At 39.2% G+C, this 14,939-nt stretch overlaps 1 protein-coding gene and 1 long non-coding RNA gene across 15 annotated transcripts in view; one reads left to right on the top strand and one right to left on the bottom strand.

The window, feature by feature from the left end:
* SH3D19 (SH3 domain containing 19) overlaps window positions 1-14,939 on the top strand; it is a 205,325-nt gene that overhangs the window by 151,172 nt on the left and 39,214 nt on the right. For 13 of the 14 annotated variants that reach the window (NM_001378131.1, NM_001378128.1, NM_001378122.1 and 10 more), the window contains one exon: window positions 8,738-8,845. The exons of the other annotated variant lie outside the window; for it this stretch is intronic. In NM_001378131.1, the coding sequence (NP_001365060.1) occupies window positions 8,738-8,845 (108 nt within the window). The remainder of the gene's footprint in view (window positions 1-8,737; window positions 8,846-14,939) is intronic. 14 annotated transcript variants of the gene reach the window in all.
* On the bottom strand, window positions 323-5,025 carry LOC105377485 (uncharacterized). Its single transcript, XR_007058329.1, has 2 exons — window positions 4,863-5,025; window positions 323-3,202 (listed from the first exon to the last, which is right to left on the bottom strand). It is a non-coding gene; the product is annotated as an uncharacterized LOC105377485 (long non-coding RNA).

The following is a 14,939-nucleotide window of genomic DNA, read 5'->3' as shown; positions in this document are numbered from 1 at the left end:
CAGAAATGGGGAGACACATGCATCGATTACTATTATATGAGCCAGAAGTAAGCAGACTGGGGCTAGGAGCTAAACTATAATAGGTTGTGGGGCTGGCTCCCCTTACTCTTGGCAGATAGAAGTTCAGACTTCACATTGAAAGGATCCAGGGAGGTTATGGAACATGTAGAAGGATGCAGAGGAAGCTTCTCTTAGATGGGAAGTCATGCAGTGGCCCCAGAGGGGCTCCTCAGATGAAATGGGCCTCAGCTGGGAGTGCTGGGAGAGGGGCCAGCTCCAGGGGAGGACTCGAAAATGTACGGAATGAGGACCCAGCCACATGTTGCAAAGTTGTTCCTTTAATCTTCACAGAACATCTTCCCTTGAGAGTGAAAAGTTTTGTAAATAAAATACAACAGATACAAGTTAGCTGCCAAGATCAGTACAATTAAATATCCCAGAAGGCAGAGAGTATGTTTTCTTTCCTCTAACTGTTCCGTTGGAGAGTGTGATGGTAAAGCTTATCTTTGATTTGTCAAACTAAGCTGCTCTACTTGTCATTGATAAGATTTCTTTTACTGCTGTTGACTTATTTGGGTGGAATTTGTGAACATATAAACTTAATAGAATTTTCAAAAGCTTAACTGTCACTGTATAAATGTTTAACATGCATCAAAATAGTACAGGCTCTGTGATTTCACAGCCACATTCTGCATAGCACAGGTGTGTTTAAAATGAAAACAAACATACACATTATTAAATATTCATCATGCACAGAACATTGTAACTGACACACAACATTTTAGCGTATAAACTAAAAGACATACATGGCTTTTGTCCATAAAGGGTGGAAGGAAAAACATTTGAATATATTAAGCTTCTGCAGTGTACCTAATGCTCTGCTAAATACTGAGACATACATTATTTTATTTAATAATTGCAACAACCGTCTGTGAGTTATCATTGGCCTAAGTTTGCAAATGAAGACAGTGAGACTGAGAGAGATCTATGGATCACTTGCCCAGTGTCATAAAACAATTGTTCAAGTCAGGATTCAAACTTAGTGTTTTTATTCTAAGCCTAGTTTATTTTTCACTGTATAATGTTGCTACCCAATATTTTCATGAATCCTTAACCAGGCAACACTTTAAAAACTTTTCAAGTCTTTGATAATACCATTTTCTTATATAAACCTTTTTGGTATTAACAAGATTCAGAGAAGGACAGGGATAGATAAACCCAACAGCAGCAAGCTAAAGAAATATTACCTTTTGTAGAACTTGCTAGTTTCTATGGGGATGGCAACTCAACTAATAATTGCTGAGAATTTATTTTGTATCATCTAGCAGATAATTATAGTCATCTTCAAAAAGGAAGGTCAACAATATACTTTAAGCATGAATACAGTCTCATGCTTCATACTCAGCCTTTTCCATTTCTTGATTTCTACCACTTCATTGAACAACATTTAATTATTGGGGCGTCTTTTAGCAAAGTGTGTAATTTGCTTGTGCTATCTGACTTTAACCATTGCTCTGGACTATGGGGTTATACTGAGCTGAATACTATCTTCTTTCTAAATCTTCTTTCTTCCTATATTTTGCAACTCACTATTGACACCATCACACACACACCAGCCTTTCCTGGAGAAACCCAGAGATCATCCTTGAGTCTTCTCACCGTGTCACACAGTGGCTAGCTGTTCAGATTTGGAGTCTGCCAGGGTCTACCATATTTGTTACATGACCTTGGGCAATTTTCTTAACCTCACAGTGCCTCTGTTTCCTCATTTGTTTAGACGTAATACTACTCCTCACCTAGGGTATTGCAAGGGTTAAATGTGATTATGCAGGAAAGCCCTATGATCATTAATTAGTAGTTATTATTGTTACTTCTCTGCCTTCACATCTAATTAGTTACCAACTCCTGCTGGTTTTACCTTCCAAATAGTTCTTGACTCTGCCTCTCCTTTTCATCCTTCCCTCTTCTGCCCCACTTTAGGCCTTTACACTCTGATGACTGCAGTGGCCTCCCAAATTGAGCCCACTCAGACAATCCTATCACAATCCATACTGTGGCTACCTAGGGGGAGTTTCTAGAATGCACACTGGTGCTTTTTGCCTCCCTACTTATGCCCTCCAAAGGCCTTCAGGATCACCTCTGAATGCCTTGACCTGTGGAGGGATTTTTGTTTGCTTTTTGATTTGGGGCTTTGTGACTTTTTGGTGGTATTTTGGTAGCATTGTCATTGTAAATAAAGGTTTATGGTCCTGGGAAACCTTGCCTAATCATCCAGACACCAGGCAGAAACTGGGAGAGGAACACAGGAGAAAGAAGAGAAACTTACAAATAACTCTTCCCTTCCGTTTCTCTTACCTCAAAAATAAAGAAAATCTAATAAAATAGCATTCATAAAATGAAGTTGCCATATTAATCTCAGGAAATAGAGATCTGAAAATACTGAAGCTATGAAAACATTGTAAAGATTAGAAAAATTATTAAATAAAAACTCATAAAACAGGCAATTTAATATTGGATTCATTTCTTGGGTAGAATGCCTTCCAGGTTAATGTAATGGAGCCCAGAAGTATTAGCAATTCTTCTTCACACCTTTACAAATCATACCCAGTTGTCAAAAGAAGCAGAATGTTTCTGCCATCAGCCCCATTACACAGACCAGAATAATAGTTTAGCAGCCAATTTCTGCTATTAACAGAACTCAAGGGAAAGAAATGACAGAAAAGCAAGCCAGGGATGGTGAAACTAATTGTGATGACAAGCATATTATTAGAGACAGGTAATGGGCGGAAAACTACTTCATCATCAGTGTTTTTCTCAATCCAGTAATGAAGACCATGCGGATATAGGTGTAAAGAGGCCTCTGCTTGTTCACCAGCAGGTGTGGAATAATTGGTGCTGGTGTGAGGGGGTAGAGGGAAGACAGAATAAACATTGCAAATACAAGTAGACAAAAATGCCATCACTGCAAATAAAAGTAGACAAAAATGCCATTTTCTTGTCTTAGATTCAGATAGGAGATTCTTCTTAAGATGCTCCGTGTTTTTTGTTTTTTGTTTTTCTGTAGAAGCAAGAGCAGTCTGTGATAGAATTATGGCAGCAAGTTCTTAACCCTTTCCAGATTACCAAACTCTGAGAATCTGACATAGCCTGAGAGTCTTTTCTCTCCCTTGAAAATAGCCATTAATTCAGTGACTGTTTGGAGCTGTGAGGAAAAAAAAAAAAAGAAAATAGCCATTAGCTCATGTGTACACAATTCAAGGTACAATATCCAGAGCTTAGAGGGCCCATTTTGGGCTCTAGATTAAGGACTTCTACTACAGAATATTGGAAATAAATGTCAATGGACTGCTTAAATAAATTATAGTACATCCATAACAATGGAGTATTGTGTGATAATTAAAAGGGAGGGAGACCTATTATCCCCTACTTTGGACCAACCTCCAAGATATTATTAGGTGAAAAATGCAAGATACAGGATACTTTTTATGTTATTTTAGCTATTGTTTGTGTTAAATGTCAAATGCAATGTACAGTAATGTATGAAAAGGTGGTACAAAGTGTGTCTTTTATGAAGGAACTGGATAGGAGAGAACAGGGAACCTGGTTTTCACTGTATGCATTTTGCTCCCTTTTGAATTTCAGACCATGTGGAGGCATTACCTTTAACAAGAGAGTTAATCAATAATCTTTTTAAAAGAGCTGAACATAAGCATAATTAGGCTGAAAGAAACTGGGAGAATTATCTCTTGTCGTCTTTGCCACTTCTGAAGAACTGCTTCCCCCAATGACCCTCAGATTCTGATAAGTAAAAATTTTTAAAATAATAAAATAGTGATTTATCTAAATGGTTATATTATTCAAGGTTACAAATAGAAGCTACTTGTTATGAACTAAATATGCCTAAATTAGATAAATTCAAAATTTTATATCTGCATTATTTCCTTTTAAATTGAACCCCAGAAAAAGAGTTTTTATTTTTCTAGTTACTTTATGGAAAATTTTATGGCCATTATTGCCTTGAAAAAGCAACAAAAGAAACCAGAAGTTTCTTTTGTTCTCTTATTTTTAAGTGGTTTTGTTCTGGTTTGTTTGGCAGAGGTGTTAACTCAGCTTAATCTTGTAACTTTTTCCTTATGATTGAATTTATTTTATTGGATTTGTTTCTGTTAGAAAAGTAAAATATATTCGTTGTAACAAGTCAAACAATTCAGAGATTTTGGATTAAAAAAAAATGTAAACTCCCCACGGTAACCAATGTGAACAAAGTATGCAGCCTTCTGTGCCTTTGGGCATGCCAAACCAAAGCTTACACATATACACATAATGGACTTTTTCCAGAAATTTTTACCATACGATACCTGTTACTCAGCAGAGTGCTTTAAAAAACAATGACATTTATGACTTCTCTTCAGGATAATAGGTCTAATTCTAATTCATTTTCTCCTACTATGAGGTATCCTGCCTGATACCTCATAGTATATCATAGCTGGTTCAGTATTTCCCCTGTTGATGGACATTCAGGTTGTTTTGTTTGTTTTATTTAGTGGGGCAGGGGGATGTTGTTTTGTTTTGTTCCTTGTTGGTTTTTGCCACTACAAAAAATGCTGCAGTAAATACCCTCATAAGCATGTTCACTTCTGCTGATGCTTTTATTTCTGAAGAATAAATTTCTGAACGTGGGACTACTAGTCAAAGGTTATGATCTTTAAACATTTTAACTAGTACTAATGATCCAGTTTCTTACCTGGTGGTGTCTGGAGTACCCCAATATGAGGTGCCAGCCTTGCTTTATATGTTGCCCACTTATAACTTATGTTGGAAAAAATAGCCCTCTTAGGAAAAGACATAAAAAGTGAACTTACGTTGCTAGAGAGAAGCTTGCACACCATCATAAGATAAAAAACAGGCCTCTGGCTCCACCGTCTCATTGAAGTGATGCTGTTTATCCTCCCCACTAATCTGCACTCCTCACATGGATCACAGCCCAGACAACATGCAGACAGAGAGGCAGATGCAGAGCTCACTGACTCAGTGAGCACAGCTGGGGGAGATCATTAAACAGACCACTCCTGCCAAACAGCCTGCGGTGGTGGAACACGAAGACTTCCTTGCCTCGCCACATGGAGAAAGAATTTTTTTTTCCCGGAGACATGTATAGTAGAATAATTATACACTATCTGAGTGCCAGTTATTAAAAAACAGCTAACGGTATTAAAAATTAAAAAAATGAGAGAGTGAGTAAGCTAGGACACTTTGAATACTTCATAAGTTATACCTATGCTACTTCAATTTAAATCCTTCAGGTTAAAACAAAAAATGATTGGACCCTTTAACAGAATAGGTGAGATCTGCCCACACTGTGTGCAGGATTTGGGTCAGGATTTCCTGAGGCCATTCTTCCCACAGCAAGCACGTTTTGGATGCCCCCTATGTTCAGCCCCTCAGGGGTGCTGATTGTCCTCTTTTCTCCTTTCCCTGCCTGCCCCTACCCCCATCCATGCCCTCACTTGTGAAATGTGAGTGTGTAGGTCTTATACTGGCCCAGAATTTAATTTGATTTGGGAAACAATTTAAGTCATTACATGCTCAAGATTTTCTTCCCCCTTCACACCCACCCAAAAAGCATCATTGACTAAAATTTTAAACTAATAACCAACAGGGTATTGATACCAAAAGCAGCTGTTAAAGAAATAGCACTTCAGGCCAGGCACAGTGGCTCACACCTATAATCCCAGCACTTTGAGAGGCCAAGGTGGGAGGATCACTTGAGCCCAAGAGGTCAAGACCAGCCTGGACAACACAGTGAAACCTCATCTCTACAAAAAATAAAAATTAGCCAGGCATGGTGGCACATTCCTGTAGTACCAGATACTCAGGAGGCTGAGGTGGGAGGATTGCTTGAGCCCAGGAGGTTGAGGCTGCAATGAGTCGTGATTGCACCACTGCGCTCCAGCCTGGGTGGAATGACAGAGTGACACCGTGAGACAGAGGGAGTGGGTGAGAGTGAGACCGTGTCTCAAAAAAAAAAAAAAAAGAAATGCTACTCGAAAGATAAGACACCGTGAATGATTATTGGAAGAACTATTCAAATATGTAAAATCCAGTTTTTGGAAAGACAATGTCACCTGCCTCACCTGCTGCACTCATGTTTCCTTCTGCAACCTGCTTCCCTTCTGCCCACAACTGAAGTTCCTCACCTTGTTCTGCTTTTTCATTTTTCAATATACTTCTCACCTTTTTCAATATACTTCTCACCTTCTAATAAACCTCGTGAATTGCTTATCTGTTACATGTATTGTTTCTTGTCTCGATCTTCCTGCTGGAATGCAAGCTCCATGAAGGCAGAGTTCTGTGCTTTGTTCACTGCTATATTCCCAGCACCTAAAATAGTGTTTTGTTTTGTTTTGTTTTTTTAACTAAAAAGTAAAGTTTAATGTTGAAAATGCAAACTTGGGGAAGACAGAAAAGATCACACACAAGGCTGTCACTTCACACTTGGAAGGTTGCACAGCGGCCGGGCAGAGGCGCGCCTCACTTCCCAGACGGGGCAGCCGGTAAGAGGCGCTCCTCACTTCCCAGACGGTGGGGCGGCCTGGCAGAGGCGCTCCTTACTTCCCAGATGGGGCGGCAGCCAGGCAGAGGCGCTCCTCACTTCCCAGACGGGGTGGCCAGTAAGAGGCGCTCCTCACTTCCCAGACGGTGGGGCGGCCGGGCAGAGGCGCTCCTCACTTCCCAGATGGGGCGGCGGTCGGGCAGAGACACTCCTCACGTCCCAGACAGGGCGGAAGCCGTAAAATAGTGTTTAATGCATAGCAGGCACCCAGTCAATATTGAATGAACAAAACTGCTACAAAGAAATTGATATAAAAGTGCTAAGAAATTGATATAAAACTACAAAGAAATTGATATAAAATGATCCTGGGTTTGTTTTTCAAAATATTTATATAATAATAATACATGTAATATTTATAGAAAATACATGGACAGATATACCAAATTTTAGACAATAATTAATTTTAGAGAGATGAGATTACAAGAGGTTTTCTTTTTCTATTTTATATAATTCTTAATGTTTCTCACTTTTACAACAAATATTTCTGTGAAGTAAAAAAAGTACTATTATACTTGTTATATATTTGTTATAATAAATTAAAGAATTAAGGAATTTGGTTAAATCTAAAAACAGGAGCTTTGTTTTATGGGTGACATAGGTCACAGTGGAAAAAAGTTATATTATTAATATAGTAGTTTTTTTTTGAGTTTGATGACATTCTTTTGATAATCTTGAGTTGGTTTTTTTAACGTAAGACTAGCCTCACTCACTGTGAGCTGGTAAGATTCCACAGAGGAGTCATCTATTTTTTTTTTCCTCAGTAGCATAATAATAATTTTAGCTAGCTTGCCATCTGGGGACCCTTCCTAAGTGGTAGATAAGAAACTTAAAATAGGATTGTACTTTACCATCATATTTCCCCACCCAGCACTGTTACTGGCATAAATATGTGAGCAAGTGACTGGTGAGAGAGTGATGCCTTTGGCAGGGTATCTGATGGTGAGATCGACTGAGAACTGAGTGGAAGAGAAGGCGAAGTATCAGATTGCCAAAAGGGCTTTTATTCTTAGCTCAGCCCTTCACGTATCCTGCAAAGAGCTGCTCAGCAAAAGGTGCTTATTGAATTACACCTCATAACAGGCAGAATTTGAATGCTGTTCATCACAGGAGCTATGGAGTGCATAGTTTTATAGAGAGTATCTCCCCGCAGGCAAGATACATAGAACAGGTGCAGAATTACAGCATATACTCATTTCGCCTCTTGTTAAATAAAAGCAAAGACAGTCTCATGCGATCCTGTGTGCTGAGTAGAATATCCATTATAGAGCATTTTCTTTTATTTTTGTTAATATTTTTACTTGTAGATTTCCCATTAAAAAAAAAAAAGTATAGTCATTTTTCCAAACCACTAAAAAGGACACTTATATTAAAAACTGTTTCAGTAAAAAGGTTTACAGCCATGCTTTTGTTTAAAGTATTTCTCCTAAGTATATACTGTCCATTTAAAATATTGGGTTGGCGCATTACTTTCAATGACAACCACTGCAATTACTTAATAAATCGGTTAAGATGGAGGAATGCCGAGTCATATATCCTTCCCCCAAAATTAAATATTTGAAGGGATATGTCTTATTTTATTTCTGGGATAGAATGTTTTTCATTTTCATGTTACTGAAGTGTAGTTTTACTAAACTACTAAATCGGAGACTGCTAAGCACCTTCCCTGTGCCAGGCACAGCACTGGGTAGGGTGAGGGCCCTGGGAGTAAATATTCTGGGACAGGCACAGGGGGTGTACAGGGAAAGAGTCTTTCCTCTCTGTGGCATCTGGGAGGCTTTAGGATGTGGGAAAGATGGTCTCCTCATCTCAGTTGCCCCTCATTTTCAGGCAGACACGTATGAAATGATTACACTCCCCTGAAAGATCAGCTTCTACATAATTCAAGATCATCCTCAATCTCTCTCATCAGAGAGGAAGAAAAGCCGCATGAATTATTTACAGAACACTAAGTTATTTCCTTTTATGAGCTCCAACTTTGTTTTTGTCTCTGCAAACTGAGATTTTGTTTATCCATGAATAGTTTCCCCAGGGGCATGAAAAATATGACTCTTAAATTATGAATGAGGTTTTTTGTTTCAGTCCATGTTAACTAAAACATGCAAAATAAACTATGTTTTTCATTAGATCCCTTTCAGCTCCCTGCAAAAACAGAACCAATAAAAGAACGAGCAGTTCAACCAGCACCCACCAGGAAGCCCACTGTAATTCGAATTCCAGCCAAACCAGGAAAATGTAAGCACTTCTCTGCTTTCTTTATTAGCTTCTTCAAGAGGCTGGGAGAAATATATGCTAATTTATCAATGTCTGCTTTTGAAATTATGTATAATCTGCCATTCATAGTCAAAGCTATTTAAAAGCAAATTGTTTTTTCACAATTCTTCGAAGAATTAGTTCAGTAAATTTGGATTTCCCTTTCCCCTTCGCTTCCCTTTCCCTTTCCCCTTCGCTTCCCTTTCCCTTCCCTTCCTTTTCCTCTTTTTTTTGGGAGTCACGCTCTCTCACCCAGGCTGGAGTGCAGTGGCACAATCTCAGCTCACTGCACCCTCTGCCTCCCGGATTCAAGCAATTCTCCTGTCTTAGCCTCCTGAGTAGCTGGGACTACAGGCACACGCCACCACACCTGGCTAATTTTTGTATTTTTAGTAGAGATGGGGTTTCACCACATTGGTCAGGCTGGGGATTTCATTTTTCTTTAATGTTGTCTTTAGACAGAGAATAGAGGGAAACTGAAATTTAGAACAATTGTTATATCCCATGTTAACACCTCTGGTACAGATTTGGTGGGAAAGTAATCTAAACTAATAGCAAATAAAGGTGTATATGTCTATCAGTCAGGAGTATATTATTGCAATCAGCATAATCTCAAATATGGCTATGTGTGAATTCGGTGAAGAGCAGTAACCAAAGCTTTAAATAATAGTTTATAAAAATACTTCTTAAATTGGCCAGGTGCAGTGGTTGATGCCGGTAATCCCAGCACTTTGGGAGGCCAAGGCAGGTGGATCACGAGGTCAAGAGATCAGGACTATCCTGGCCAACATGGTGAAACTCTGTCTCTACTAAAAATACAAAAATTAGCTGGGTGTGGTGCTGCGCGCCTGTAGTCCCAACTACTTGGGAGGCTGAGGCAGGAGAATCACTTGAACCTGGGAGGCGGAGCTTGCAGTGAGCCGAGATCGTGCCACTGCATTACAGCCTGGGTGACAGAGCGAGACTCCATCTCAAAAAAAAAAAAAAAATTAGTGTAACGTTACATTTTGGTTTACTTCCTTACTTGATTTTTTCCTTACTTGATTTTTTAATAGTATAACAAATGAAATTCTATAGGAGCTTTAATAAGTACTTCAAAAAGAAATCTGATATTTATTATAATGGGAAAGCCACAAGGGCCAGAATTATTTATTTTAGGCACCAGATTATTAAAAACTGTGATTAAAAGGGTGTTTGTGTATGTGTACACACACACACAGTGGGTTCCAGAGCAGTTCATGGCACTGCTTGGAGTGATCACACAGCTTTCTCTGCGGGCATCTGATTTCATTTATGCCTGCAATGCCTTTATATCATAGCCCGCATGCATTCTTTCCTTTGTCTAACAAGAGATTCTGCCCACTTCATTCCTCCTAAAGCAGAACAAGCATTCCACTCTTTCACCTGTAGCACCCAGGATTGTATGCAGGCATATTCCCTTTATTTTAGGAGTTTGGTTTCTCTATAAAGCACTACCCAGAAGGATCATCTTGGTTTCAGTTTTTTGATGATTCTGTTACTAACTGATGGCTCTCAGCCAAGTAGCAAGAAAATTGAATTGAGTTGCTATGAAGAATGTGGAGGAGAAAAAAATCTAAGGTATCAAATTCTGGTTCTAGTTTCTTAGGAAGTTATATTTTATTTTTTTAGAGGTAATATTTTAATGTTAGATTTAAAAACCAGTGGTAGGCCAGCCATGGTGGCTCACACCTGTAATCCCTGCACTTTGGGAAGCTGAGGTGGGCAGATCACTTGAGGTCAGGAGTTCGAGACCAGCCTGGCCAACATGGTGAAACCCCGTCTCTATCAAAAATACAAAAAAGTTAGCCAAGCATGGTGGCACACACCTGTAATCCCAGCTACTTGGGAGGCTAAGGCACAAGAATTGCTTGAACCCAGGAGGTGGAGGTTGCAGTGAGCGAAGATCATGCCGCTGCACTCCAACCTGGGCAATAGAATGAGACTCCATCTCAAAAAAAAAAAAGAAAGAAAGAAAGAAAAAACTGGCAGTATATTTCTTTTGACAATATTATATAGCCCACAAATCAGTAAAACGATAGCTCATTGGGTTGTTTGCCTGTTTGCTATTACTTTGTTAAATGTATTCTGGATTTTAACAAGTATAGTAACATATAATAATAAGAAATTTTGCCTGGGTTTTAAGTAATACAACTTTTACAGAAATTAGTAATAAATACAAATTTTTAAATTTATTCATCTGTTGTGTCATTGTCCCCAAGACCACCCCCAGGTTTGATGATTCACTAGGAGGACTCACAGGACTCAACAGATAGTTGTATGTATGGCTATTATTTATTATAGCAAAAGTATATGAGGCACAATCAGCAAAGAGAAAAGGCAAATGTGGTGAAGTCTGGAGGAAACCAGATGCAAGCTTCCAAGAGTCTTCTACTGGTGGAGTCAGAGGACATATGTAACTCCTCCAGCAATGAGTTGTGATGACAAGTGTGAAATGTCAACCAGAGAAGCTCACTACTGATTCAGTGCCCAGGGTTTTTATTGGGGGCTGGTCAGGTAGGCACTCCTAGAAATTTTGGCACTTACCAAAATTCCAGATTCCCAGAAGGAAAGCAGATGTTCAGCATAAACCATATATTCTGTTTTATCAGTTTTGAGGATGGCGAGAACTGTCCCAAAGTCCAAGTTCCTATATGCCAGTCAAAGACCAATCCTGTGGCTGGGTGTGGTGGCTCATGCCTATAATTCCAGCACTTTGGGAGGCAGAGGCAAGTGGATCACGTGAGGTCAGGAGTTCAAGATCAGCCTGGCCAACATAGTGAAACCCCATCTCTACTAGAAATACAAAAATAAGCCGGGCATGGTGGCATGCGCTTGGCTGATGCAGGAGAATCGCCTAAACCCAGGATTTGGAGGTTGTGTTGAGCTGAGATCACGCCATTGCCCTCCAGCTTGGGCAACAAGAGCGAAACTCAAAAAAAAAAAAAAAAAAAGGGACCAATCTTGTAAGTAGGACTTTCTAGGGATAAAGTTTCAGACCTGCTATGTTTACTTTTTCTGCACACTTGTAAACTGCATTAATAAGCTTTGAAATCCTGAAAAGGATATGCTGAGGAAGCAGCTTTAATTATTATCCTGACAAAGCTCCAAGAACTAGTAGAAAATTGAATTCTAGGAGTTCGAGACCAGCCTGGCCAACATGGTGAAACCCTGTCTCTTCTAAAAATATAAAAATTAGCCGGGCTGCAGCCATAAAAAAGAATGAGTTCATGTCCTTTGCAGGGACGTGGATGAAGCTGGAAGCCATCATTCTCAGCATGCTAACACAGGAACAGAACTAAACACTGCATGTTCTCACTCATAAGTGGGAGTTGAACAGTGAGAACACGTGGACACAGGGAGGAGAATATCACACACCGGGGCCTGTTGGGGAGTTGGGGGCAAGGGGAGGGAGAGCATTAGGACAAATACCTAATGCATGCGGGGCTTAAAACCTGGATGACGGGTTGATAGGTGAAGCAAACCATCATGGCACATATATACCTATATAACAAACTTGGGTGTTCAGCACATGTATCCCAGAACTTAAAGTAAAATTTTAAAAATATTCTTTTAAAAAATGAATACATAAAAATAAAGGCTCAATTAAAAAAAAAGAATTTAGCCAGGCATGGTGGCACACACCTGTAATCCCAGCTACTTGGGAGGCTGAGGCAGGAAAATCACTTGAACCCAGGAGGCAGACGTTGCAGTGAGCCGAGATCATGCCACCACATTCCAGCCTGGGTGACAAAGCGAGACCTCATCTAAAAAAAAAAAAAAAAAAAGAGGTATGAATTGAACAGTGAGAACACTTTGGCCACAGGAGCACACCAACATGGCACATATATACATATGTAACAAACCTGCACGTTGTGCACATGTACCCTAGAACTTAAAGTATAATTAAAATATATATATATATATATATATGTATAAAAGACAAAAACAAAGTGAGGAGGACTTTCTGCTTTAAATGGCAGGTAATTTATACCCAAAGAGGGTATTTTAATTCATCATTAAGCTCCTCTTCAAAGAAAAAAAGTAAGTTGAATTCTATACTGCCAAATGTAGGAGAACTGAAATGACAGAATGATTTCTAGAGAGTTATTTCTATTTATACCAAAAATCAATTCCTCAGAATTTTATTAATATAATAATGCATATATTCTGTGGAGGAAAAAGAATGAAACTTTGGTGTCTGAAGAATTTGGAATGGTCAAGGGAAAAAGGGGATAGCTTCGTGGTGCAAATGTCCTTGATCTTATTTGAACCTGTCAGCTCCTTTCCCCGGGGCCTGTTTCTTCTGACCAGGTTGTCCTTTTCCCAGATGTCTGCAAGGCTCCCTCCCTCACCAATCCTTCAGGTCTTTGCTCATTGCCACTTTTTCTCAGAGACCTTCCCTGACTACATTATTTAAAATTGGAAATCTCCTACCTCCACATCCCACACATACTCACACCAGATACTCCCTGTGTTTCTCCTTCCAGTAAGCTATCTCCTTTCTACTTTCATATTACTGGCTTATACTCTTAAATATTTGTCACGACAGTATTATACTCTATATGATTAACTATTTCCTTGTAAGAATAAGGAAACCACAGCACAGAAAATATCTTCAAGATGGTGACTGAGTTGGATGTTTTTATTATATATGTCTTAATTCCCAGAGCCACTGCACGCCTCTCACTAAGAATGTTTGCCTCGCTCTAAATCATTGTTTTCCTAGTTGCTGGCCTGGGTATTTTCCTCCCTTTGAGAATGTTGTCCTGTCTGCGGATAAAACAGGAACCTGACAAATCATCTTCTTGTTATAGGTTTTTCACTTGAAATGGAAGAAGAGAGTGTACATTTGAAAAAAAAAAAAAGAGAGAGAAAGAGACAGAGTGCTCATCTGCTCATCTCCTTTTAATGTCTAAACCAAACAGTGTAAAAGGTGGCTTTAGCGTCCTTCAGTATGTTACAGTCATTCACTCTCCCAATTGTTTTTGCACACTCATTTTAATTAGCTGTCACTAATTTGGTCATCTTGGTTTTCTTCTTTTTAAAATAAGTTGGGGCTACATTATCACTGATGTGGGTGTGGTTTGGATGTAAAGGTATTGTTTGTTTAATTGAGGGCAATTATGTTCATTATTCAGAAGCTACTGAATTAGAAAACACATTGGGCGGATGCAGTGGCTTACGCCTGTAATCCCAGCACTTTGGGAGGCTGAGGCGGGCGGATCACGAGGTCAGGAGATCGAGACCATCCTGGCTAACACGGTGAAACCCCGTCTCTACTAAAAATACAAAAAAATTAGGCAGGCGTGGTGGCGGGTGCCTGTAGTCCCAGCTACTCCGGAAGCTGAGGCAGGAGAATGGCGTGAACTCAGGAGGCGGAGCTTACAGTGAGCCGAGATTGCACCACTGCACTGCAGCCTGGGTGACAGAGCGAGACTCCATCTCAAAAAAAAAAAAAAAAAGAAATAAAACACATTGAATTATTTTTGGATGAGGGAGTGTTGGATACACCACCTATTAAGAAGCAGCATGCCTTATCAAAATGAACATGGACTTTTAGGTTCAAAACAATGGATCTGACAATTACTAGCAATAAGACCTTGGGTAGTGCATTTATTTTCTTCTTAGCTTCAGTTTCTTCATCTGTAAAACAGGTAGGATATTATCTAGTGTAGCACTGTGCGATAGAACTTTCTACAAAGATAGAAATGTTCTTTAACTGTGCTGGTAGCCACTAGTCACAGTGGCTAGTAATTTGAAATGTGGCTAGTGCAACTGAGGAACTGAAATTTTAATTTAATTTAATTTTAATTAATTAAGATTTAAGACTAAATCATCAGATGTAGCTACTAGCTAGTGGACTGGACAAATCTAGCACATAGATCTTGGTTGGAGAAATGTATGTAAATATAGAGCCTAACTTAATTCCTGGCACATAAAAGGTTCTCAACAATGCTGGCTGCTGTTGAATTGTTTAGTATTATTTTCACTCTCTATAAAAACATATAGTAAAATTAACTGATGTTGACTAACACATCAATTTTCTGAAGTTTGC

This window comes from Homo sapiens, chromosome 4 (assembly GCF_000001405.40).
Source record: "Homo sapiens chromosome 4, GRCh38.p14 Primary Assembly".
In the NCBI taxonomy this organism is placed as follows: domain Eukaryota; kingdom Metazoa; phylum Chordata; class Mammalia; order Primates; family Hominidae; genus Homo; species Homo sapiens.
This window is presented reverse-complemented; position numbering and strand designations above follow the sequence as displayed.